Source organism: Homo sapiens, chromosome 14 (assembly GCF_000001405.40).
Source record: "Homo sapiens chromosome 14, GRCh38.p14 Primary Assembly".
NCBI lineage: Eukaryota > Metazoa > Chordata > Mammalia > Primates > Hominidae > Homo > Homo sapiens.
Window position 1 is genome coordinate 95208138 of NC_000014.9, and position 27488 is coordinate 95235625.

At 47.2% G+C, this 27488-nt stretch overlaps 1 protein-coding gene across 5 annotated transcripts in view, besides 2 other annotated features; it reads right to left on the reverse strand.

Moving 5' to 3' along the window:
• Positions 1 to 27488, reverse strand: part of CLMN (calmin) — a 137969-nt gene that overhangs the window by 26198 nt on the left and 84283 nt on the right. For all 5 annotated transcript variants that reach the window (NM_024734.4, XM_011537158.2, XM_017021646.2 and 2 more), the window contains exons 2-8: positions 21935 to 21996; positions 15623 to 15718; positions 13554 to 13637; positions 7504 to 7596; positions 5082 to 5272; positions 2549 to 2742; positions 1258 to 1340 (exon numbers count right to left, since the gene is read on the reverse strand). In NM_024734.4, the coding sequence (NP_079010.2) occupies positions 1258 to 1340; positions 2549 to 2742; positions 5082 to 5272; positions 7504 to 7596; positions 13554 to 13637; positions 15623 to 15718; positions 21935 to 21996 (803 nt within the window). The remainder of the gene's footprint in view (positions 1 to 1257; positions 1341 to 2548; positions 2743 to 5081; positions 5273 to 7503; positions 7597 to 13553; positions 13638 to 15622; positions 15719 to 21934; positions 21997 to 27488) is intronic.
• Positions 3849 to 3898: an enhancer, noted in NCBI's record as "active region_8949". NCBI's record gives its function as "activates an Ori minimal core promoter by ATAC-STARR-seq in GM12878 lymphoblastoid cells {active_cell/tissue: GM12878}" and the evidence as "EXISTENCE:reporter gene assay evidence [ECO:0000049][PMID:35858748]".
• Positions 25663 to 25982: an enhancer, noted in NCBI's record as "active region_8950". NCBI's record gives its function as "activates an Ori minimal core promoter by ATAC-STARR-seq in GM12878 lymphoblastoid cells {active_cell/tissue: GM12878}" and the evidence as "EXISTENCE:reporter gene assay evidence [ECO:0000049][PMID:35858748]".

Consider the following 27488-nt stretch of genomic DNA (forward strand, 5'->3'; position numbering starts at 1 on the left):
TCCTTTTTTTCTGTCTGGTACTTATAACTACCCCAAGTTACGTTTTTGCTCACTTATAACTGTTTCCGTTACTAGAACAACGCTCCACAAGGCCAGGGACCTCAGCCATCTAGTTTATTTCTGAGTCCCCTAAGCCAGGGGCAAGGGTTCAGTCAATTACTAACGGATTCAAGAAAAGGCTGTCATTGCTGTCATTATTATCAGCTCGGGGTTGTGCATGGGTTGGGTGGGAGTTCAACGGGGCCAGGACAACTTCTAAAAGGTCTGATTCTGTGCCCAAAAAAACTCTCACCAAGTATAATCTGGAATTCTGAAAATAAAAAGGCAAACTTTTCAATGATCATTGTCTTTTATGATTTGTAACATTGATAAAAATCTGGTAGATGCTAACATATTCCATCTGACATGTAAAAAATCAAGAAGCAGATCCGTTTTATAAGAAAGCGTCTTTCATAATCTTAATAAAGTTTGTCATGGGAAGAGGTCTGTGACAGGCGTCAGTTTCCATCCTGCTTTGAAACTTAATGCACGTTACATGTAAATAGTTCCCCCCTTATTTGCGGTTTTTCTTTCTGAGGTTTCAGTCACCCATGGTCAACTGTGGTCTGAAAAGATTAAATGGAAAATTCCAGAAATAAACAATTCCTAAGTTTCAAATGGAGTGCTGTTCTGAGTAGTGGGATGAAATCTCTCACCATCCTGCTCTGTCCTGCCTGGGACGTGACTCGTTCCTTTGTCTAGCACATCCATGCCATCTCTGCCACCCATCTGTCACTCACTCAGTAGCTGTCTGGATGATCAGAGATCAGCCACCACGATATCAAAGTGCTTGTGTTCACATAGCCCTTATTTTACTTAAGAATGGCCCCAAACTGCAAAAGTAATGATGTCGGCCCATGGTTATAATTGTTCTATGTAACTATTAGTTGTTGTTAATCTCTTTCTGTGCCTAATTTATTAATTAAACTTTATCATAGATACATATGTATAGGAAAAAAGTGGTATATATAGGGTTCGGTACTATCCGAAGTTTCAAGCATCGACTGGGGGTCTTGAACTGTATCCCCCGCATATGAGGGGGACAACTATCATTCTGAAATTAAAACATGGTAAGGCCGTGCTCAAGGGACTTGGGAGCAACTGGCGATTTTGACTGCTAGTTACACAGAGCAACGCTGCCCACGTCCCTGCTTCGTCTGATGGCCAGCGGATGGAAATGTATGGTGTCGGAATTAAAGGTAAGAAAAGCAAACATACGGCTTCCAACTCCGGAAAACGTTCTAGAAACTGTGCCACGTAAGTCATGATAGACTGCTCGTCTGGTGTGTCAACCATGATGTCTGTCGAGAGAGACACAGGAATTAGCAGGAGATACAAACACACACGCTTTCAATAGTATTCCCGGATGCCTGATGGTGAAGAATCCCACAGATTATTGAAGGTTTTTTCTCTTTATTTTCCACTTGAGGAACTTTAGGCTCAAAGGTGGTGAATCATTTAACTGAAATCTCACAGCTGGCTGATGAACAGAGAAGCAAGGATATAGAATTTAGGGCTTCTTATTCCCAAAATTCTGTCCCTTCTTCCTTGCTGTTTTAGTCCCTTCCACAGTAAGCAGCCAGCTCGCTGCTGGCTCCATGGGCAAGGACGGTGAACCAGGCAGCCTACATATGGTATACGGAGTCCTACGTTAGCCTAACCCACGTGGAAGGCAACTTCACAGAGATAGCCAAACCCTTTAAACAGGTATGGGCTCTCCCCCTCTGTCATTCTGCTAATGAAACCTGGTCCTTAAGGAAATAATCTGGGATGCACGTTGAGCTTTATTTACTAAGATGTTCACTGCGGTGTTGTTATATCTAAAAGGAAATATTTCAGAAACAACCTCAATGTCTACCAGTAGTGGAAGAGCTAAGTACATTTTTTTTTTTTGGAGACAGAGTCTGGCTCTGTCGCCCAGGCTGGAGTGCAGTGGCACGATCTCAGCTCACTGCAACTTCCACCTCCCGGACTCAAGTGATTCTCCTGCCTCAGTCTCCCGAGTAGCTGGGATTACAGACTGCGCCACCACGCCCAGCTAATTTTTGTATTATTAGTGGAGATGGGGTTTCACCATGTTGGCCAGGCTGGTCTCGAACTCCTGACCTCAGGTGATCCACCTGCCTCGGCCTCCCAAAGTGCTGGGATTATAGGCGTGAGCCACCACGCCCAGCCACTAAGTACATTTTAGTATGCCCACTAGATGAATTATTATGCAGCCAATAAAAATATATAATACATTATAGAAGTATGTAAAATACTTATGATATAATGTTAAATAAAAAGTACAAAATTATATATATACAGTAAATGATAACAATTATGTAAAAATATAATTAGAGGCATATAAAATATCGGAAAAATATCCATATGATCTGAGTGGTAGAAATATAGGAGAAAAAATCTTCTTCATTAGATTTTTCTGTATTTTCCAGATTTTCCACATGGGACAGCAAGTGGTACATTTGTAAAAAAAAATTATTAGAAAGAAAGAGAGAACCACTGCTACCTTCTGGCTCCAGGAGCCTGGGGATGTGCAGGGCATCCTGTGCGATGCTGAAAGCCTTCTCTAGATTTTCTCGTGTGGAATTTTCCAGGGCCTGTTTCATGTCCACCAGGCTGGGGTCAATGGCCTTGATCACCGCCAGGAAAGCCAGCCCACTCCTCCAACTGCCCGCAAAGTCCTGCACCGCCACGCCATACCTGAAGGAAAAACAGCAGCGGCGGCCAGGATGCTGGTTAGTAAACAGACTCAAAGGTGCAAGGTCAGCATGCAGCAGCCGCGTGAGTTTTTGAGTGGGGCAGAGCTGCCGACCTCGCCAGGTGAAGACGCCTTCATCCCTGAGCATGGGAGAGCTGCCCTGAACCACTCACATTTCCATTTCCAGCCAAATGGAATAGGAGGGTATACACTGAACAAAGAGGCAAAATAGGACCCTGGGTTCCCCAATTCCCAGACACATAAAGGACCAACTGTATAGACCATTCCTTGTATCAGTGACATTGAAAACATAACATGGAATGTGCTGTGCCATAAAAATGGAACCAGAAAGACACAAGTTTGTACCTCAGCTGTCCCCTCTATGCTTCTAGTGCCATGGCCTTGGGCAAGTCACCTACCTCTCTGAGCCTCAAACTCCACACAGTGAACTTGCTGGGGCTTTTGTGGGGAAAGTCGAGCCTGGCCCCAGAAGAACGGCCAAGTCATAGGGTCAACCTAATATACAACGTTGGGAGCCCAAGAAAGCCACTCACTAATGACAGCTACTATTATCAGTAATAGAAATAAAAGCACCATTGTAAAAGTGAGGGGCAGAGAGCTTTCACTCTATTTTGTAGAATGGAGGCTACCTCAACTTTTTAAAAGTAAAAGTGAAGGACAAAAGAGGAGAGAATCTTGCCAGGCACTAATTTCCTGTAGAATCTATCCTGAGACTCCACCAATCTCTCAACCGTGGTCAATAAACGCTCTTAAAAAAAAAAAAAAAAACCAAAAACAACCAAGTACCTTTTTATTTGGAAATCATTTAAGACCCAAAAGAAGTTGAAACACAGTACAGAGAGTCTCTACTCTTTCCCCAGCTTCCTCCAGTGACAGCATCTTATGCTACCAGGGTGCGTTATCCAAACCAGAACACCAATACTGGTCCAAGACAATTATTAATCAAGCTATAGACTGCATTTGAATTTCACATTTTCACAGGTGTTACTTTTCATGGCGGTGGTGTACAGATTAATGTAACCACCACAATAGAGAAACAGAACTGTCCTATCACCCCAAGACACTTCCTCTCCCATACATCACACCCCCCTTCTACCCTAACCCCTGACAATGAACTTTTTTTTGGTTGATATTTATGTAAACAACATTTAATGGTGGTTCACATTTGTCAATTTCAATCTACCACGCTTGATCTCTCAATCAAAACTCTGAAGATCCAACCTCTCTTCCCTCTTTTATTTCCACACACAGGGGATAAAGGAATCAATATTTGTGAAGTGCTTAATATGGGCTGGCACTGTGCAAGGTGCTCTTTCATGGATTTTATTTAATTTCACCTAATTGTCCTGGAAGGCAGTGTGTGATAGGATACTATTTGCAGTTGGGGCTTGGAAAGGTAAATGATTCACCAGGATCTCAACCAGTCTGTACGCTGAGGAGCTGGGGCGGCCCCGAGTTGGTTTGGTTTCCACCACACTGGTCTGGCATTTGTGCCCATGGTCCAGGGGCTGTGGGCCTGCTGCTGGTAAAAAGGCCTGATACAAAACTGCTAAAATCACTCTGCTGCCGGTGTGGGGTGAAACAGGGCCGGAACTTGGCTCCAGTTCCCGTCTCGATTTTGGAAGGTCCGACCTAACTTTGAGTATGTTACAGCCTTTATTATTACTATTTTTAAAGTAGGTACAGACTCTGGAAGATACCCTGAAGCTTAAATGCACACAAGTCATTAGAATCCAAGAGACATGCCCATGTTGAGAGGCAACATGATGAAGGCTCCTCTGATCTGTATTCAAATCTTATCAGCTTTGTGCAAACCAAACATTCTGCAAACTGCATTTTGTGTGTACTGCAAAACCAGAAAAATGCAGGGTTTCCTGTTCTGACATTCTTTTTTTTTTTTTTTTTGAGATGTTGTCTCGCTCTGTTGCCCAGGCTGGAATGCAGTGGAGTGAACTCGGCTCACTGCAAGCTCCGCCTCCCAGGTTCACGCCATTCTCCTGCCTCAGCCTCCCGAGTAGCTGGGACTACAGGTGCCCGCCACCACGCCCGGCTAATTTTGTTTGTATTGTTTAGTAGAGACAGGGTTTCACCGTGTTAGCCAGGATGGTCTTGATCCCTGACCTGGTGATCCACTCGCCTCGGCCTCCCAAAGTGCTGGGATTACAGGCATGAGCCACCGCGCCTGCCCCCTGTTCTGATATTCTATATGAAGCAATGGGCACATACATAACTGGCACCTTAATAAATACTAATTCTCCTTTCCTCTGCCTGAAAGCAGCTAGTTAAATGAAGTAGTGTGGGGAGAGGGGCTGCGGCTTACTTTCTCGTTTTCCTCTGCACCCACGCCAACAGGGCCTTGATAGCCTTCCTCTGGTCTTTCACCGATATTGCCACGCTCCTCTCTGCAGTGGGTGTGGGTGGGAAGGATGAGTCTGAGTCTGTGCCCCCTGAGCCAGGGGACAAGCTGGAAGATGGAGAGTTTCTGCTGAGGTTGCCTGTGAGCTCCTTAATCTGGAAGGAAAATGGCATTTCAGACCCCAGCAACAGACCCACCCTCTCAGCAAGCCCCTTGTCTGGCGGGTGGCCATATGGACCATGGCTGGAGGGACCGGCTCAGGCAGGATTGCTTCTCTGAATGCAGAGAAACCCTTTCTGATGGCTGTGGCAGGGGACAGGCAGTACTTGTGATGGCCTGTCCGTTTCTTGTGGCTTGTGGTACACGTAATTACACTCTATAGGGAGGACCGTCTTTTCCTGGAGTCTCTCCAGCTCCAGCCAGCACTTCACACCAGGTCTTCCTGACCCAACTCTGCCGCCCCTTTCCTCTCACCGCCCATCACTCCCAGACTTCACTGAGCTCTTTCAAGCCCCATTGCTTCTGCTCATCCTGCCCTTGCTGCCTCGATGTCCCTTCCCTCCATCAGTGAACTCCTCTCATGAGGACTTCTGTAAGATATGCAGAACCCTAGGCTCTACCCCAGAGCTACTGGAATCAGAATCTGTTTCAATACCACCCTCAGGCAATTCACACACACAGTAGGTTACGTCTAACTTAGTTTGAAAGATGAGTAGGAGGTCTAGCGCACTCCTACTCATCCTTCAAAACCCAGCTCTGGTGTCACTTCTTCCAGGAAGTTTTCCTTACTGCACTCCCCCATCTGAGCTAGCTGCCCCTGCTTGGAGCTCTTGCATCACCTTCTACCATATAGGATTGACTTGTCTGTGATCCTAAAGGGTCATGAGGGCAGGGCCTTTTACTTTCAGCACCTGGCATCTTGGAGAAACTCAATAGACATTTGTTAAATAAATAAATGAAGCCCTACGGTGGTGGATTTAAGGTCTTGACTTTTACCACATCTTCGGGATGTTTCCAGAATCTCTGAGGAAGTTTAATAACAGGTAGCAGTAATTGAAGCATATGTATAACACATGGTGGCTGCTGCTGCTTTTTTTTTTTTTTTTTTTTTTTGAGACAGGATCTCATTCTGTTGCCCAGGCTGGAGTGCAGTGGCATGATCATGTCTCACTATAGCCTTGAACTCTCAGGTTCAAGTAATCCTCCAAACTCAGCCTTCCAAGTTGCTGGGATTACAGGCACACACCACCATGCCTGGCTAATTTTGTTTGTTTTTTGTAGAGATGGGGTCTTGCTCTGTTTCCAGGGCTGATGTTGGAACTCCTGGGCTCAAGCGACCCTGCCGCCATGGCCTCCCAAAGTTCTGGGATTATATGCGTGAGCCACTGTGCCCAGCCCACATGGCTTCTTTTGATGCTCACCACCTATTATGACCACTGCTCCCATTTCACAGACATGGAAACTGAGGCTCTGAGAGAGACAGTATTTTTTTTTTTTTAAGTTCATGGTTCACTCAGAACAGGAACTATTGTCTCCAGACCTTGTTTGTGCTCATGCTTCTCTGAAATGCAGGCATTGCGCCAAAATCCAAGCAAATCATGCCCGTGTGGATCACTTTCACTCTTGGGAGGGTAATCGAACAGTGAACCACAAGTTTCTATTCCAAAAGCGGGTGGGCTCTAGAAAATGAGATACCAGCTCTCTCCTTCTGACAGGGAAATGAACTTGAGCACAATTTAAAATGTCATCTTCTGATGGGTTGATGGGTGCGGCAAACCACCATGGCACGTGTATACCTATGTAACAAACCTGCACATTCTGCACATGTGCCCCAGAACTTAAAGTATAACAATAAAAAATAAAATAAAAATAAAATGTCATCTTCTTATTCCAATCACAGATCCAGTTCTCCCTCTATCAAATCTGCATTTCCAGTTAGAGGCTGAAGTTGCAAAGAACAGAACAATAAGGTCTCGCCTGTTATTCTTCTTCCTCAGGCATCTTTAGTGCAAGCTCTTTAATCACCTCTAAGGAACACTGAGTGATTTCAGGAAAGTAACTCTACCAAGTTCCAGTTTTGGTCAGGAGTATTCCCCGGTTCTTGTGACACTTTAGAACAAAGTTATTTTTTGAAGTAAATATTTAACTCTTCCAGACCCAAGAGGATAGATATTCTCTTCTAGAGAACTTGCACCGCTTTTAAAATCACAGAGACTCAAACACTTTAGCAACCAGATTCTTCTAGTGCTTTTTCAGTGAGTAGAAAAGATAAAATCTGCCATAAACTAAGCCTCACTGCCTCCCTTAATCTGGCCCCACTCTCTTCTGTGGCTGCTCAGCAGACACAAGATCATGATTGTGTGTTTTGGAAAAGAAATGATCTTACCTGGAAGAAGAGGATTATGTTCCATATCAGCCCAAGAACCAAAGAAGGGTTGCCATCTGCTATTTCTGCTGCATCAATGCTAACCAGTTTTACCTGGAGGGAAGCAATTTATGAACTTAAAGCGAGGTGTCCAGGGAGGATAACATATGTTATTTTCTGGTTCTCTCTCTCTCTCTGTGTGTGTGTGTGTGTGTGTGTGTGTGTGTGTGTGTGTGTGTGTTTGCATGAGCCTGTTTTTCTTACTTACCCTGCCATTCTCAGGGACACTCAGCATGCAAAAGTGTATTTAATTAACACATACACAGCACTTACCATATGCAGCCTCTATTCTAAACTTCTTACAAATATTAACTCAGTTTATTCTCACAATAAACCTATGATGTAGGTGTATTAGTCCGTTCTCATGTTGCTGCAAAGATACTACCTGAGACTGAGTAATTTATAAAAGGAAAGGGGATTAATGGACACACAGTTCCACATGGTTGGAGAGGCCTCACAATCATGGTGGAGGGCGAAGGGGAAGCAAGACACGTCTCACATGGCGACAGGCAAGAGAACGTGTGCAGGGGAATTCCCTTTTATAAAACCATCAGCTCTCAGGAGACTTATTCACTATCATGAGAACAGCACATGAAAGACCTGCTCCCCCGATTCAATGACCTCCCACCAGGTCCCTCCCACGACACGTGGGAATTATGGGAGCTACAATTCAAGGTGAGATTTGGGTGGGGACACAGCCAAACCATATCAGTAGGTACTTCTATTGTCCCTCCAGTTCAAGTAAGGGAATTTCAGAGAGGTTAAATACAACATGCCCAGTGTCACATAGCTGGTAAGGCTTCAGTCATTCTTTTCCAAGAGAGATGGAAAATGCCCAGTACATCTGTCTGCTACATAAACACCACCACGCCTGGATTTAGCATGTCCTTGGGACAAACACAGAGCACCGACATGAGCAGTCACGGACTGTGGTGGGTGAGTTGACTGCTAATTAGAAATAGTGTACTGGGATAAGGTTTATACCCAGGGTTTCTGCACCATTAGAAAAGATCCCACTGATTAGTTAAAATGTGCCTCTTGTAGAAACCCTCAGGGTCTTATCTATGTATTTAACTATGTTCTGACCACAGAATGATGCTCCTGGTAAATCCCTAAGGCCAACCTGACATCTGGACCAGCAGCATCTGTATCACGTGGGACCCCCATGTTAGAAATGCTCATTCTCCCCTATGTCTACAGAATCAAGAACTCTGTGGGTGGGCCCAGAAATCTGTATTTTAGTAAGTGCGCCAGGTGATTCCAGTGCATGCTCGGGTTTGAGGATCACTGCCCTAAGTCATCAGTTCATTCCACAAACAAAATCTAAGCACTGGACACAGATCGGGTCTCTGCAGACCTCTCTGAAAAGGGCCAGAGAGTAAATATTTAAGGCTTTGCAGGCCACACTGGTGTCTGCCACACATTTTTCTTCTTTCTTAACAACGCTTAATAAAGCAAAAGTCTAAGTCATTCTTCAGGAGAAAGAGAAAGTCAAGATACACTATCAGGTCCACACTGCAAAATTCTGCCTGGTAGACTGGGGAAAGAGAACCTGAAGAGAGCATCTCATACAAAACCTTTTTCTTTTTCCTCTATTTCTTTCCTCTCTCTCTTCCCTTCATGGCTTTTTAAACTGTCTGACATGGGTCTCTGATCCTATCAGTTCATCATGGGTTTCCGACAACACCAATCATTTAGGCCTGGGCTTGCCTAATCGAGGGAGAGTTCTGGGTTCCCAAGCTGCAGTCTGTTTTGAGGACAGATGCCAAGAATATAAGTCAGACAACACAGGCTCATCACTGGCAGGTCAGAGGCCAGGAAGGAAGTTGTCAATACTGTGAATAACACAGTTGATCGGATTCAGGTTCAGTACTATCTCCGCATTCATCACGAGCGCAAGTCCTGCATGATGGATCACCCACGAGAACTCGCCTGCTCGTCTCCTAAGCCTCTGCTCTGACAGCTCCTGTTTCTGTGGCTTACTGAGCACATTCCAGTCCAGGGGAATCAAAGCCGCTAGTCAACTTGATCACCCTGGCCTTCCCTTTCACCTGGGGGAAGCCCAAATGGCAAGTGACAGCTGTGGCCCTGTAAGCTGAGGTTTCAAAGTGAGAAGACAGAGCTGCCTTGTAGGGGTGCCGTAAACACCATGGTGCACCATCCCAAGAGGGGAAGGGCAGGGCTGAGCAGGGAATAAAGCACCCTCCTGAGGTGCCCAGTTCCCTCAGAGAACTGGGATGAGGGAAGGTGGTGACTGCAGGTGGTCCGAGGCCCCAAGGGGCAGATATTTCCAAAAACTGTGGCTTGTGTGCCCAGCTACCATTTTGTTTTTGGTGGTGAACAAAAAGGTTAACAGCCAGACTTCAGTTCAGAGCTTCAGGGACAATGCTTTCCTCCTCTTGTTCCTCCTAACTCAGCTAGTTTTGCCAGATTGAAAACAAGTGGACCAATTGGTTTGTGGAAATATTCCGTCTCCCTCTGCGGCTGGGAGAAGGTGGTATCACACCTAGTTATCACATGTAGGGTGATAACTCAGGGGCCTGGTAAGTGATGACAGCCATCCCGAGAATGGAGAGTGCTTTTCACAGGTCAGTTCCTTTAGTGTTTACAATATACCCATTTTAGAGATGAGGAAGTTCAGGCTCAGAGAAGTTGAATAACTTGCAAGTCATAGAGCTGGTCCTGTGGGGCAGCCCATCTCTGACACGGGCATAAACACTGTGCTCTGTGACGTGTGGTTGCAGGGGAGAGAGGAGAGGACAGGGGCCAGCCACAGCACCTAACGGCATCTGAATCCCTGAGCAAAGAGGACCTGGCTGCTGCCTGGCATCCACCACCCAGTTCTGGGCACCGCTTTAGCTCAGCAGAGCTGTTATAGCCTGTTGGGGACAGTGGGCTGAAATAATGGGACAAGAAGTGACCAGCGAGGGCCCACTGAGTATTTTGTGGATTCTGGGAATGGGACAGAGTCTGCATCTGAAACGCTCGTTTCCACCTGGCTCACTCCCCTGGGCTTGCCTTCCCACCGGGCCATTCACTTGTCCTACCTGCCTGGTAAATGGGGCCCAGTGGGGCACCAAGCTGACATAGTATGCTCGCATTTGGAATATTTACAGTTGTTTGAAAAAATAGAGGGGATGGAGGCTTTAATGTTCCTTGACTTTAAGGCAGCTACTGCAGGCAGTTTGGAAAATACTACACAGATGGATGACAGAAGGCCAGGCCTTCCCAAGCCTCTGCACTGCACTCCCTCATTGCCACACCTGTTCCTAGGCTAGTCCTTCCCCGACTCAGCTGTTTGTTTTTGCCTCTGCAGGATCATCCCCCATCTTCATGCCCCTGGGGTGACATACAGCACGCTGTCCATGTGAGGTCTCTTCCAGCTGATCCTAAGCATCTTGAAGGCACAGATGAGTCTCTAATGTAGCTGTCTGTCTCCAATGCTGAGAAGTCTCTCAGGCCCACAAAAGACACTTGGTAAATGTGACCCAAATGGCTGCTGGAAGCAAACCTAGGACCTACTAGGTAATTCTGATAAATGCAGCAGGAGGGTTTTGCCTGCATTACAGCAGACTCATAAACGTGGGCAGCTGACAGAGCAGGAGAGTATTTAGAGGTCAATACGGTGGAAGGAAGAGCAGCACGAATCTGAGGAGGCTGTTTGAAGGCCCCACATTATCACAAAAACCATGCCCTTTGCAATTCAGGAGTAGACACTGCTAAGAACAGCCATACGCAATGCCTGCTCCAGGGAGCAGGTGGGCATCAGACGTAATCAATCAAGGGGGGTGACGCAGTGAGAGCTGGAGCCCACGCAGCTTTCGGTCTGGCTGGTGCATGGCTAACCTGTACCTGGACAAGTCATTTAGCCCCAAAAACTCTCCCAGGTAGGTTTTGTTTTTCTCTCCTCCATTTCACAGATGTAGAAACGGAGGCTCAGGGAAGATGCCATTTGCCTACAGTTCCTGGGAGTGGGGAAGCCAGAACTGGAAACAGTCCTCCGTACTCCAGGACCTGTGCTGGCCCACGTTTGGCCAGAGGCCAGCAGTGTCATTGACTCAACAGAAAGGGAGGCTTTTAATGAACAGGGGGTAGGCTTTCTTTATAAAAAGTTTTAATGAGCTATAACTCACATCCCATCCTATTCACGCACTCAAAGTATAAAATTCGATGTTTTGTAGTGTATTGAAAGATGTATGCAAGAATCACTACAATCAATTTTAGAACATTTTCATCCTCTCTAAAAGAAACCCTGTACCCTCGAGCTACCACCCCTCATCCCCCTGTCTTCCCACAGCCCAAAACAACAACTAGTCTACTTTCCATTTCCAAAAACTTCCCTGTCCTGGACATTTCATATGAATAGAATCATATAATAAGTGGTCCTTTGCGTCTGGCTTCTCTCACTTAGCATGTTGTCAAGGTTCATCCATTATCAGTGCTTCATTTTTTTTAAGGCTGAATAATATTCCACTGTATGGATAGGTCCCTTTTTTTTTTTTTTTTTTTTTTTTTGAGACAAAGTCTCGCTCTGTTGCTCAGGCTGGAGTGCAGTGGCGAGATCTTAGCTCACTGAAACGTCCGCCTCCAGGGCTCAAGCAATTCTCCTGCCTCAGCCTCCCTCGTAGCTAGGATTATAGCTCCCCACGACCGTGCCCAGCTAATTTTTGCATTTTTAGTAGAGATGGCGTTTCATCATGTTGGCCAGGCTAGTCTTGAACTCCTGACCTCAGGTGATCCACCCGCCTCGGCCTCCCAAAGTGCTGGGATTACAGGCGTGAGCCACCGCGCCCAGCCATCTAAGTCACATTTTGAGAATCCACTTGTCCGTGGGTGGACAGGCGGGTTGTTCCCACCTTTTGGCTGTTGTGAATTGTGCTGCCATGAACTGTAATGCGCTTGCTGGCCGCCACCATCTGAACCTCCCCTCTGTGCCTGGGACTTTCTCCTAGAACTACTGGGAGGGGACTATTGGGAAGCAGAGCCTACCCCTGTTCAGACAGTGAAAGTGCTTTCCCATCCTCCTTTGCCCCTGGAATGTGGGCTGAGGCCCAGGCTGTGCAGCCACACATCCTGTCCGGGCCTTTGAATCTGGACCTGTGATGCTGAGACGACCACAAAGCAGAGAGAGCTCCTTCTGCAGGCTGTGGTGGGGCTGCCCAGAGGTTGCAGGGGCAGGGCGGTGAGGGCATGTCCTGCCGTCTCTTCAGGGGGCTCTGCGGTAGTCCTGGTGCCTGGCATGGGTTCTGTCCCTGATTCGCTGGTCTTTCAAGTCATTCTGTGGCTACTCGGCATATTTCAACAAATTCCTTTACTGCTTAAATCAGCTGAGTTCAGCTTCTGTTACTATGAAGAACCCCAGATGAATCCTACTTTATGATAAAATCTCACTGTATGTGCCAATGTGTCAGGCAAGCTGGGTTTTGTTTTAACCCGGATTGATTGGTGAAACCTAATGAGAGGCGTGATGAAACGTCCTCCCTGCTGAGCCACCCCCTCCCCTCTGTGAAGAATGTGGAGCAGGGTTCCAGGCACAGAAAAAGATCATCGGAGTCTAGAAAGTTACATCAAGAATGGGAGAATTTTGTAACTTTTTTCCCCTGGCTCATTTGGCCCCCCTCTTCCCCTTCTTCTCCCATATTCTAAGTTCCAAGAGAAAGTTCTACACTCGGACATGCTCGCCATACTCTTATTCAAGGGAATGAAGGAGAAAACGTGAACTGAATTCTAAATATCTGAGAGCCAGTTAGCTGCTCTGCCTTTCTACGACTGAACGTACATCAGAGTTTTAATCCTGATGGCTGCAAAGTGGGTGGGCACGGAGTCAGGGACTATGTTCCCAACGGAGGGGTCATCTGAGTGATTTCTGTGAAATTTAAGCTTAGTTTAATTTGACCATTTTAGCTCAGTCCCCGTCTCACGCTTCTCTTGCGACCAGCACTGAACTTCAAATGACGTCCTTTTCCTAACAGGACAAGCTTGTGTTAGCAGGATGAGCTTCAAACACTTACATTGCTATCTTCCAAAAACTTAAGTGCTTTCGCTATGTTGTTCAACCGAAAAATACGATGCGACGAGGATTTGTATTCGTGCAGCTATAAAACAGAACAGAACAAAACAAGCACATTAAACCCGCACAGGCACTTCCCAACACCCAGCGGTGCTGCTGGGTGTGCTTTACTTTTTTCACATGAATTTCAAGAAAAAGTTAGGGGCTCACAGCTAAAACCCACCTGGAATGCATCCAAACCCACACAGGTGCCTCTCAGGACATACAAATGTGACATCAGAGGGCTCTCAAAGGTCGGCCTTATTTACAGTACTTGGGATTTAACTCGCTGAAGTTGGTGAGTTGGGGGGAACTGAAGTGGGTCAGCAAGGGACAAATTTGTCAATTTTTTTCTCTGGGACCCAGCTCCTGGCTTGTTAGATTCCTCCCTTCTCCTGAGACCCTCCATTACGTGTTCCCTTCGCTAAGCGGCTGCTTTTGTTAGGACAGGGAGCACTAGCTGTCAGCATCACGGCTCAGCTGCTAAATCATCCAGCCGAGGTCCTCCCCAGTGGCGGCAGATGTTTCTGTTTTCTAGCCAAGAGTTTTGTGGACAGTTATCCCAGGTCGAAAGAGAGAAAGAGAGAGAAAGAGAAAGAAAGAGACGTCTGCAGAAGCTAAAACTCTGACAAGGTTAGCTCTACATACCAGGAATACCATCACAGCCAACTCACCCTGAACTGAAGCACACTGACGCTCCTCCAGGTTGGGGGAAGATGGCATTACAAGGCAAACCAGTGGGTCAGCTCCACCAGGTGTGAAGTGCCAGGCCACGCTCATGGGGAAGTGGAGGCCTGTTCTTGGCTGGGCTCCAGAATCAAAGACTCCCCGTGGAGGCCCACCAAGGACACAGCAGCTGGTGACCAGGGCTCTGGCAATAAAGTGGGGAGCCTCTGTGCTGGGAGCATAAACAAGGGACTAGAAGGTACTTTTTCAGGAAGTCTTTTGGGGACCGTGCTCATGGCGAGGCCTCTAAGAAACCAAATACTGTTGAGAGTTCATCACTGAATACTGCGTAGCCCTCTGCGGGTGCCGCTAATAGGTATCTTGTGTTTTGCCATTGGGAAAGCAAAGGTGGGATGGTTAAGAGGTCTGATAAGATACCAGCTACATTATATCTGAGAAGAGAAGCAGGGACTCTTGACTTTAGACCTACAGTTAAGGACAGACCCAGGACGCTCTGTGCTGGCTGAGCTATGGTTTGGTAGAGTTGTGACCCCGTTGCTGCACCTCTGTTTTAGTTAGGCACAATGGGTTGCCAAGGCCAAATCAAACAGTGGACTCTGGAACAGGCTTTCTCAATCTTGACACTTCTACCATTCTGGGCTGGATCAGTTTGCCCCCTCATGGAACATTTCATCATGTCTGGGAGATTGTTAGCTGTCACACCTGGAGGTGATACTGTTGTTTAGCAGTTAGATACTAAATGTCCTGCAATGCACAGGACATCTTCCCATAGCAAGAAACTATGTGACCCAAATGTCAACAGTGCCAAGGCTGAGAAACTCTGCTGTCTGTGAAGAGAACAAGGGCCAATCTGCACACAGCAGAGGGATGCAACATGGAGAAGTCTGGCTAATGTCCAAAGTGGAATGAACGTCAAGACCAGCTGGCTCAACTTCAGTCATACTTAAAAGAATGTTCTAGAAGCCAGCAGTTCTAGGGTGCTTAGCCTTAGGGTGGTTGATAAAAGGCCTTTCTCTTCCAATTTTTCCACTTCTCAGCGATGATTCTAGTTTATATAATGGCTGGCTGGCTAAATTTTAACTGTTTAGTTCTAATCTTAAGCCTTAACAGACTCAAAGAAAACACTGGGCATTTATTCATTTATTTTCTAAAATACATTGGCTTAAAAAAAAAAGTACTAGTTCATTCCACATGACTATATGGCTTGTAGGCACTAATAAAAAAAGTCACCGCTTCAGAGTTTCTTATTATAGGATATGTCCAGGTATTTGTGTTGAAAAGAAAACCTCAGCAGCGTTTTCCTTTGCATTTTCTTTCTTTCTGACCCTTCTGTAACATACGTACCAGATTCCGCCCAGACAGGACTTCTAACAAAGCCATTAGGATTTTGCCATCTTGTATATCGACGAATAAATCTTTAACTTCTAGAGGTGGGTTGCACTTTGAAAGAGAAGGGAAGAAAGTAGCCAATTAGCAACCTGTGTGATCCACAAAGCTATGTCAGAGATGCAGCTTTCTGCTCAAGAGAAAACTTCCAAACATCCAGCTCTGTTTACAGGTAGAAAAGCCCATCCAAGGAGGTAGCAGGCCCATCCCCCTGGAAGTGATACCCAGGCAGCGGTGCACAGCCACAACTTGGCAGGAAGGCTGCAGAGAAGATTCACCAAGAGGGGGCTGATCGACAAGTGGCCCTTGGGGGCCCTTCAAACCGAAGATCTCAGACCCCACGTTTAGATCACATCCACATGCTTAAGGGCAGAAAGAAATGGCATATCTTGACTACATCCTTCTGTAGAATAAAACAATTCTATCAGGGCTTAATGTGAAATTACCTAGTGCAAGCCCTTCATTTTATTTATTTATTTATTTATTTATTTATTTTGAGACAAGAGTCACGCTCTGTCGCCCAGGCTTAGGAGTGCAGTGGCACAATTTTGGCTCACTGCAACCTCCGCCTCCCGGGTTCAAGTGATTCTCCTGCCTCCGCCTCTCGAGGAGCTGGGATTACAGGCAGCTGCCAGCATGACCGGCTAATTTTTGTGGTTTTAGTAGAGATGGGGTTTCACCATGTTGGCCAGTCTGGTCTCGAACTCCTGACCTCAGGTGATCCGCCCGCCTCGGCCTCCCAAAGTGCTGGAATTACAGGCATGAGCCACTGCGCCCGGCCACCCTTCACTTTAGATTGGGGAAACTGAGGCTCAAAGAGGATGAGTGATAGTCGCAGCATTTGGTCAAGCTAGCTGTTTGGTATTGTCCTGTTTCCTGTATCCGGCCACAAGGGCTGAACGCAAGTGTACCCTAGATCCACACAGCAATGACAAGACCCTGGGCCAGTTACTCTCCAGGATTCAATACGGCATCAGTAGGGCTCCCCCATCTCCAAGACTGCTTTAGTCTTCAAGTGTGCCCTCCTGAGGTGCCCGTCATTGCTTCACCAATATTTAGACCAAGTCTGGAGGTGGTGGGACCCTTAGCAGAGGAAGCCAGGAAAGGGGGCTGGTGTGTGAGACTTGGCTAGGAGAGCAGGTGGCTGGCAGGACACAGCTGGCCTGCTGAATGGCTCAATGGTTGGGTGAAGGGAAGAAGGCTTTCCTCACCCCACGTGTGTAGACTTACTAGGAACTCAAAGGTTCAGAGGTCGATTTACATGTCCATGTATATGTGTATGTGTATTTATATGTTTAGGTACAAAAGCAATACAAGCTCATTATTACAAATCTAACTCATTAAAGTTGTACCAAAAAAAAAAAAAAGCTGCATGTTACTCCTCTATTCCTCCACAAAATCCAGCTTCCTGAGATAAATCAACATTGCACCTCACATGAGCCAACGAGAAGCAAGGCCGTTAGACACACCTGAGTTCAAAGCCAGGCTCTACCTTGATAGCAACTTGGCCTTGGGAATGTTCTTTAACCTCCCTGGGCCTAACCTGACCTTGCACACTTGCACAAAGATAGTGTACTTGTCTGCAATGTCAGGTGAGGAATCTGACCCTCGTCAGAGGACTGGGCTGGAATGCAATGAGATCATGCAGGTAGGGAGCCTGGCACAGCCCCCACCTACCCGGCCCATTCCCACCTGCTGACTGCTAAGTGGCATCCTGCCTGCAGAGCCTTGGGATGCCCTCCTCAGGAAGACATTTCATTCAGAGGGTGTATGCCTTGTGGCCATCAGTGGAAGGGAGATGTCCTCAGCTGGCGGCCCCTTTGTAGTGAACGGCTCTTGAAACACCTTCTCTCTGCCCCACTCACTCACTTTCTGGGTTCCCTGGGTCAGTAACAGAAGCCCCAGCCTCAGTTCCCGTAGACTACTTCCTTCTCCCTGAGGGGAAACGCAATTCCCTAAACAGGATCTAGAGTGTGGAGGGGGGCCTGGGAAGGAAAAGAGCCAGAAGCCCCCTGGGCTTTCCTCTCTGGGCCTAGACCTGGGAGGGGTCTGCTGTCCAAGTGAACTGACACTGTTTGGTTCCACACGGTATCTGCTAGGAGCTTGGCTGGACGTGGCCGGGAGTCTGAAGAACTGGCTGGAACTTGTGGGTTAGATGCTCCAGTGTGAGGATTTGCAAACTCTGTTCCCCGGAACCTTAGGCTTCAGCAGAGCAGCTTTAGGACACCCTATAGGGGAGAGGGGGATGGTGGAGGCAGCTGATCCCACTGCACCCGCTTTAATCAGAGAGGCTCAGCTCTTACTGGCCTGTACAGTCACCCCTCAGTATCTATATGGGATCGGTTCCAGGACTTCCCTCAGGTACCAACATCTGCAGATGCTCAAGTCCCTGATATATAATGGCACAGTATTTGTATATAATCTATGCACATCCTCCCATATACTTAAAATCACCTCTAGATTACTTATAATACCTAATTCAGTGTAAATGCAAAGTAAATAGTTGTTATACTCTATCGTTCAGGGAGTAATGACAAGAAGCAACTCTGTACTTGTTTAGTACAGATGCAGTTTTTTTTTTCTGAATATTTTTTATCTGCTGTTGGTTGAAGCCACAGATGTGGAACCCACAGAGAAGGAGGGATGACTACATTTACGGTTCTAGGTAATGCTTTGCTTGAAGAAAGGTTTCTACTGTCTAAACAAGCTTGATAATAACTCCTTTTAATCGCAACAGAATCTCTGGGAGCAGGGTCCAGAAACTTGCATTTTTCTTCTTCTTCTTTTTTTTTTGAGATGAGATCTTGCTCTGTGGCCCAGGCTGGAGTGCAGTGGCATGACCACGGTTCACTGCAGTCTCAAACCCTTAGCTCAAGTGATCCTCCCATCCCAGCCTCTTAAATAGTTGGAACTACAGGCACGTGCCATCACGTCTGGTTAATTTTTTAAACTTTTTGTAGAGATGGAGTCTCTCTGTGTTGCCCAGGCTGGTCTCAAATTCCTGGGCTCATGCGATATCCTCCTGCCTTGGCCTCCCAAAGGGCTGGGATTACAGGCGTGAGCCACCATGACCGGCCGAAACCCGATTCTTAATAAGCTTCCACCCCGGCATGAATTTCCTGTTTACCTTTTTGTACTGGGGGCTTTGGCAAGGTTAGAGCAGCTGGTCTGGGTGCTGTCTCTGCTCCTGGGTACAGGGGAAGGCTGGGCATTCACATGGGAGATAGGATTAATGGGGCATGGAGCTCCTGATGGGAGACAGGATTAATGGGGCATGGAGCTCCTGAGGCCAACGGGAGGGTGGCAGCCATAACCAGCCAGAGACCCAGGGGCAGGAAACAGTGGAACTGTGGCCCAGCCACCCTTTCCCTGTGGGAAAGCCTCCTTCCCGTGGCAGCCGTGGAGGGCCTGTGTTTCATTTTTTATGGAGGAAGGTGGCATTTCCTTACCCTTTATACGAGTCCCTTTACCCCCAGTTAGTCAAAATACAGGGCAATTCCACCCGCAGGTGCACAGAAAAGGGCTTCGCTTCAAGGGCAACAGCGACTTTGAACCAAAAGGCAAATTATTTTCTTTGCAAACTGCCGCAGCTCCTTGGGCACCTTCCACCCTGAGCATGACGGGATCAGGTTACTGAGGCTCTTACGGAAATGTTATTCCTGTTAATGCGAGGCAGAAAACGCGAGACCCGAACGGAATACCCCCTGATAAATGGACTAACAACATTTCCAGTTACCAGCCCCGGCCGTGGCCAAGCCTTACTTCTGAGTTAAACCTGAAGAATAATTTCCATTGACAGTTCCTATAAGAGCCTCAGCAGCAGCAGCAAACAGGGCCTTGGCCGGAGTCCATCCTGCGAGATGGCAGGGGGAGAAATTGAACCTGCGCCAGGGAAAACACTCCTTGGGCCCCAAACGCTCTGTGGGCTTCATGAGATTGGTATGGCCGAATAAACAGCACCCCCAGGGCTTTCTTCATGATCTAACTCCTTCGGTAAATTAAGGAATTTTTCCAGAAGCCAGAGACTCAGTAAATATTTCTGACAGCCTTCAAATTGCAGTTAAGCCCAATTCACCAAGGAGTTCCTGGGTTTCCTTTACATGCAAGGTTGTTCTTGAAAGTCTCAAGGTTGGAAACGTGGCTGTTAATTTTGCCCTGTTTATTAGACATCAGTTTCAGGTGCTATCTGATTTATTTTCAGAGTCGGCGCTACCCACCTGCCCTGAGAAAGGGGCAGGAATTTGACCAGGGAGAAAATCCTTGATATGATAAATGCGAACAGAGGTTCATTTGGGGTGGTGAGTGGGTGCGGGTATATTCACCACGTGACCCTCTGTACTTTTCTGTATTTATTTATTTTAATTTTTTAAAAAAGAAAGAAAGAAATACTCCATGGCTCTAGTGTGTCCCCCAGCAGGAATTTCCAGCTACCCTGACACACATCAGGCATTAATTTAAGAGTTCAGTGATCTCAGGTTTGGGGACAAGTTTTCCTTTTGCTTTTTTCCCCAAAATAACACTTCACTTTAGGAGCATTGCCGAAAATGTGCCAATAATCAAAACAACTGGTTGATGATTTATAAGCTTCATCTGCGATACAATCTTTCACCCGTAGAGTTCAGGATGCTCCTGGGTGAAGTGGTGGCACTGCGTCACATGTTCTACACGTCAGGAGTGGAGGTGTGGGTGGCCGAATGCCTGCTCGGGCAATATCCTAGACCTAAAGATAAACTATGTGAATTAGAATTGAGGTCAAGAGCTCCACTTCCTAAAAGCCACATTTATTTTCTCTGCTTTCTAATCATTTCAGTGATTTCTTCTAAGAACCTTTCTTTTGTGTTAACCATAAAGGCAGTCAATAGTTACTCTTGAACCTTTTGTTTTGTTTTTTGAGACAGGGTCTCGCTCTGCCGCCCAGGCTGGAGTGCAGTGGTGCGATCTCAGCTCACTGCAAACTCCACCTCCTGGGTTCAAGCGATTCTCCAGTCTCAGCCTCCCCAGTAGCTGGGACTACGGGCATGAGCCACCACGCCCAGCTAATTTTTGTATTTTTAGTAGAGACAAGGTTTCACCATGCTGGCCAGGCTGGTCTCAAACTCCTGACCTCAAGTGATCTACCTGCCTCAGCCTCCCAAAGCACTGGGGTTACAGGCATAAGCCACTGTGCCCGGCCTCTCTTGAACCTTTTAAGAGGAGAAGAGAGACGATTACCTACAAACATGAAAGTGGGGTGCTACTAGCTTCAAACAGAATTGAGACTACTTGCTGGATATAGATGGAGAACCAGATAGTGGTGCTTAAGGAGAAAGAGGTGAAGTGAGTAGATAAAAAATCAACTTTCTAAAAAAGAGAAAAATAATCTCTCCTCTCCCAGCCCCAGGCCCACAGTCTTGAGGTCCATCCAACCTCATGCACCAGGAGGGCTGAGATTTCTGCCTGCTCCCATCCCCCTTCTCACCCAGAGCTGTTCATCCCTTCCCATCACTGCCTCTCCTCTGTGGCTCTTCCTTTAGTCTGTTTCAAGTGGGGAGCTGATTCAGCTGCTTTTGTTTTATGGTGTGTGCATGAGATGCTTGCAAACAAAATGCAACTCAAAACAGCCGGGCCAAAGAATGCAAGAAGAGAAAGAAACAGAGGAATAGAAGGGCCACTAAGTTGAATACAGAGGAGAAGCCATGGAAAGTTCAGGAAAGCCACATTATGTCTCCGTGCCTCTGTTTCCTCCTTCTGATAGGAGGGGGGTAATTCAAGTCGTCATGAGGATGACAGGAGACATGGCATGTGTGTGTGGCACTATGCAGGATGCCTGATGCAGAGTGAAGGGGCAGGTAATAATATTATTACTATTATTATTATTAAATAGCAACATTATGTGACTTTAGAAGGAAATCTAGCTTTGCCCAATACCTACAAATGGCTCTTGGCTCTTCACAGATCCCGGGTCTGGCAATCAAGATGCGCACCTGAGTTTCAGGTGTTGGTGTGTTCAATAATGAACGTCTTCCACCATCTGCTCAGATTCCTACTTAAAGACAGACCCTCTCTTTCCTTCCCCTGATAAGAATGATGACCCCAGGAGGGCAGAGCCGTGTCTCAGTCATCTCTTCCCAATCCTGAGCTTGGTAACCGGCAGGGGGAGGCACTTATAAATGTTTAAATGAATGAACAACAGAAAGAGCACAGGTCACCAGCTCCCCCTCCACTCTCTGGAACTGTAAATTCAGTTACAGATGAATCTATCACTTAGCAAACACCCAAGTGCGCCATTACCTTTTCTAGATGTAGATTTATCCATCGTGTAAAGGTCCTCTTCTGCACATTTTCCCTCTCAACTGAAAACAAAGACATACCATCAGCTGGGAGAATAAGAAGTATGTGCAAAATCACACCTTCCCCTTCCCAAGGGGAGATTCTAGGTGGAGGGCAGACAGAACCCCAGGGTGTCCCATGTAAGAACAGAGGCCTTTCTGGAAGGGGTTGGCAACGCCTTACCTGGCACCCACAACCCATGCTCCCCAGCCCAACCCCTGAGCATCTATGTAAACCCACAGATTCAGACACATGGAACAAAATGTTCTCTACAACCCAATTCAAACATTTAGACATCTGACAGTTCAGGCTAAGAAGCACTGGAGACAAAACTACAAATCAACCCCACAAGAGGCTGTAATGGGACTGCATGGTCACCCAGTGGCAGTGATGGGCATGAGGAGATGGGAGAGGGCAGTCAGGGTCGGGGTGGAGTGGAGCCGATAATTAGGAATTGGATAGGGGCTCTGGAATGTGCCACAGTGTGGTGAAAGGGATTGGACAGCCCAAGATCAGACTCTGAGCCCTGTCATCTCCCAGCTTTGTGTGCCCGGGCCAGACCCCCACCCGCATGTCTGATCTGCACATGGAGGATGAGGAGCTCACTCTCCAAGCTGCTCTAAGGATACCCAGGCTCCTGCAGAGCCAACTCCACACAGTCCCTGGCACAGGGGCTGCCAGTGGTTTTTCTTTGTAGCTATTATTTCTAGAGCCAGGGCAGACTTTGCACCCTCCAGGAATAAAGAGTTCTGCAGGCGCTTGCTGCTGAGCCAATGTGAACCGAAGGACATAAACCAGGAATGGACCCCTTCTCCCAGGGGAGAGCATTACCCAAAGAGGCTTCTTAGCAAAGATCTTTCACTGCCAAGGGCGACTGCCATCCGCCAAGCACTCACTGCGTCCCGGACACTTTGTTTCCATTCATCTTTAAACCTTACAACAGGGGTCCCCAACCCCCAGGCCATGGACCAGTACTGGTCCGCGCCTGTTAGGAACTGGCCTGCACAGCAGGTGGTGAGAAGCGAGCATCACGGCCTGAGCTCCGCCTCCTGTCAGATCAACAGAGGCATTAAATCCTCTAACTTTTTTTTTTTTTTTTTTTTTGATACAGAGTCTAGCTCTGTCACCCAGGCTGGAGTGCAGTGACGCAATCTCGGCTCACTACAAGCTCCGCCTCCCGGGTTCATGCCATTCTCCTGCCTCAGCCTCCAGAGTAGCTGGGACTACAGGCGCGCACCACCATGCCTGGCTAATTTTTGTTGTATTTTTAGTAGAGACAGAGTTTCACCATGTTAGCCAGGATGGTCTCGATCTCCTGACCTCGGGATCCGCCCACCTCGGCCTCCCAAAGTACTGGGATTACAGGCGTGAGCCACCGCGCCCAGCCGCATTAAATCCTCATAGGAGCTTGAAAACATCCCCCTCAGCACCCTGTCCATGGAAAAATTTTCTTCCACAAAACTGGTCCCTGGTGCCAAAAAGGCTGGAGACCACTGCCTTACAACACCCCTGCAAAGTACAAACTATTATTTTACAGCTGAACAGAATGCAGCTCAGAGAGGTTCCAGTGACTTGCTCAGCTGAAGAGAGGCAGAGCTGGGAATCCCCATCCAGGTCTGTCAGCCCCACACCAGCCAGAACCCTGGAAATGGAAGGCTTGAGTTTGGATTCCAGCTATTCCAATCATGGCAAAGGTGTCTGCAATAGTCATAACAGTGATTTTTAAAAAAAAGTACCAAGCACTTGCTATATGGCAGGCACTTACCTAGGTAATTTACATGGATTAACTAATTTAATCCTTACTACCATCCTCTGTGGCAGGTGCTATTATGACCTTCAGATGGGACAATCGCGCCCAGGGAGATGTTGTAACTTGTCCAAGGTCACACAATTAATAGTAAGGTTATCATTTCTGTTTTACAGATGAAGAAACGGAGGGGCAAATAGTTAATAAAACAGCCCAGGTGGAACTCCATTCTGTGCTTTTTCTGCTCTCTCCTGAGTTCTGTGGCCTTAGCTGTCTTGGGCCCTCGAGCACCCGGAGGGTGTTTCTGAGATGGGCCCCAGTGCCAGTGTCTGGGTGAGGGTGCGTGGTGGCCTGAGGCTGCAGCCTCCTCGGCTGTGAGCTGCCACGCCTCCAGGAAACTTCCTTCAATATCTGAGCCAGACGGCTCCTCAGCTACTGGATTTCAACATATTGAAAGACCATATCACATATGCCTAAAACGATTCCAAATTTCTTTAGCAATAAGAAAATGAGAGCCAATTGATCTCCTGCAGGAGAGCAAAGCTTATGGATTTCTGTAACAACGGGACTTTTTTCCTCTTGGCCTCATTATTTGGCAGAATGTGGCACCCATAAATCACGTTTCAATATTATGCCTTACAATATTTTTAACTGAAGAACCAGCAGACAGTAATTACGTACATCACTGCTTTTCTCTCAGTTTCCTCCTTTTCTGTAAGGGAGGGTCACTGGCTAATAGGCATAAGAATTAAAGAACGAATTCCAGTAAACTGTGTTTCACGGGTGAGAGGGAAGGGAGAAGGAAAAGAAGTTAATAGAAATGAGGTTGGGAGGAGACATGTGCTGAGACCAGTGAGTACCAGAGTCTTGGAGACTCCCGGAAGCTCAGAGAGTGTCTGTCCCAAGCTCTATCGGAGATCCTTCCACTTTGCAATATGGATCCACTTTATTCTCTCTGATGGCTACAGTGTTTTCCATAGTCTGGTTGTTCCCCCTGTGGATGGACATCAAGACTGCTGCCCATTTTTCACTGTTTCGAGCAATGCAGAAACAAGCATTGTATGAGCATCCTGGTTCTTTGTGCACAAACATATGAATATATTTCTTACCCGTGACAACTAAAAGTGGAACTGCTGGGTCTTAGTGGTAGGCACATTAAAAATTTTAATAGCTACTTCCAAATTGCCCTCCCACAAGGCTGTCCCGGTTTATGCTTTTACCCCCACCTGTCTTTAAACAAGTTTATGGGGACTGTAAAGTATTTACACACACATTCAAACACTCAGGCTGGTTTCTCCATATGGCTTCAGAGAGAGCAAAGTATATCCCCTGAAACAGAAGTGCATTTAGTAAAAGCCTCAGAGAACCTGGGTTAGGCTGCTAGTTTAACTACACTCAAGGGTGTAAATGAGGAGGTGGGTATCTGACAGTCTACACATAACTCATCTATCCATCCATCCATCATCCCTCCATCCACCCATCCATCCATCCACCTACCCATCCATCCATCCAGCCATCCATCTATCCAACCATCCATTTATCCATCCATTCATCCATCTGTCCATCCATCCATTCATCCATCTGTCCATCCATCCATCCATCCATCCAATCATCTGTTCATCCTCCCAGCAGATATTTATGCAGTAATTACCATATTCTGGAAATTATGATAGGCTCTCTGGGCAAAACCAGAGATGAAGAATTAAGCATTCATGGAATCTGCACTCCAAGAATTCACAGCCAAATAAGTAAAAGAGAGAAAACATGGCTGCCACAAGGTGTATATGCAAGGAGAAATGGATTAGAATGCTGAAGGCTGACAGGAACTGGAAAAGGTGACTTCAGACCCCGTGAGGTACTCCTGCAGGGCCCTAAGAGGCTCTGCTGGCAGAATTGGAACAAGGCGGGGGGTGGCCACAGGCAAAGACTCTGTTCTAACCCTGTCCTGATTCAGAGCCAACCCCTCTGGGTGGTTTCACTTCTGCTCTAGCCAAGGCCAGCAGGCTGGCCTGAGCACAAATCAGCTTCAACAGCAAAGCTGACCCACAGAGGCAGATGGGGCTGACAGAAGGACCCCAGGGGACCCTGAGAAAACCACAAATAGCAGACAAGTCCCAAACTGAAGCAGAGTGTGGACACCATGTTATCTGGACCTAAAACTGGGACGCATTGCTCAATACACAGGAGAGACTGCGAGAACTCAAGCCCGCCCCAGAACATCCACTTCAGCGCCACGCACCACTGGCTGGGCGACCTTGGGCACACTTGCAATTTTCAAAACACCTTTGCCTTGGTCTCCCCTCCACAGAATGAGGTTGGCCATGCCTCCCTCACAGGAATGCTACGGAGATTAAATGATATCAGCCCAGAAAGCACCCCCACAGCTGCTGCCGCAAGCAAGGCCAGTTTCCTCCGTCCCCAGGGTCCCCCAGCATTGCTCTGGTCACCGGCGTTTTGACTGGTGTCTCGACACGAAGGTCTGCGGCTCTTTCATGGCCTTCTCCGCTTTGAGACGCCCACCCCCCATCCTGCAGACTCTTGCTACTTCTGGCCTGCCAAGACTCCATAAACTTTATACAGTTTCCATAAATCCAACGGCCCCTTTTTTCCTATCACATTGTAAAGGTGTAGGAAACCATTTCTCTGGAAGGGCCTGGCCTTCTCACAGAGTGTTTGTGGGGCCCGGTGTGGGTTTAATGGGCAAGGATAGAGTCATAAAAGTGCTGTAAAATCGCCATCCCTGGCTCTGCCTGGCTGGCCAGGATGCCCAAGTGCCGGGCCGGGTGGAGGAGCAGAAACTGGCCAGGCCTGGACTCCAGGGGCCGAGACAGAAGGGAGGGAGGCCTGGCCCTGGCTCAGCCGCACCAGCCCAAATTCCTAGGTGTGTCTTTAGCTCTGCTTTGCCAAGAACAGATCACTTGAAAATGGGAGGTGGGACATTCCTCTCTTCTCCAGGCTGTCCGTGGCTGGCTCAGGAGTTCAGAGTCACAGAGAAAGGGATGCACGCATTAGGAGTTAAAATGTTTATTTACAGTTGTGGCTTTTTGTCTCTATGTCCACATTTGCCCCAAATCTACTTTCTACATATTGATAATATTTCTGCTCTTTGTTGCCCAGGAGAAAGTCTTCATGGCTTTATCTGCTCATAAAAAATTATAAGCTCATTGTAAAAAATTAAAATACAGAAAAGCATAGAGAAAAATATCTAAAATTGCTTGACATTTCATTATGCCCAGAGAAAACTCTCTCTCTTTCTCTCTCTCTCACACACACACACACACAGAGCAAGCACATGTACTCATGTATACAATTTAAACGTGATCAGTAAATGGCTCAGAGTTTCTCAACGTGTGGCCCACATGGGTCACTAACGTCATGAGCCTCTGGGATGACAATTAAGATGCCAATTCCTGGACTCCAGACCTACTGCCTCACACTGGGGCCGGGGCCTGGGAATCTGCATTTAGCCAGCTCTCCAGTTGATGAGGATGCACAGTTTGGAAACTTAAATCTTAGCCAGAGGAGATGATTAGCATCATTTTTTGGTCATCTTTGGGTGGGGTAGAGAATGACAATGAGCACCTCAGCCTGGCATAGGACAAAGACCAGGCAGTCTAGAGCCAGACACACAGGCTCCACCACAGACCCCAGGCTTAACAGTCACTTGAAACAATTAAGTGAGATATTGCAAAGGGAATGACTCGTGGGCACTGGGCCAAAAAATGGTCATTTTCTGTCCTTCTTTGTCTAAAGGGCTCTTCCTGACAA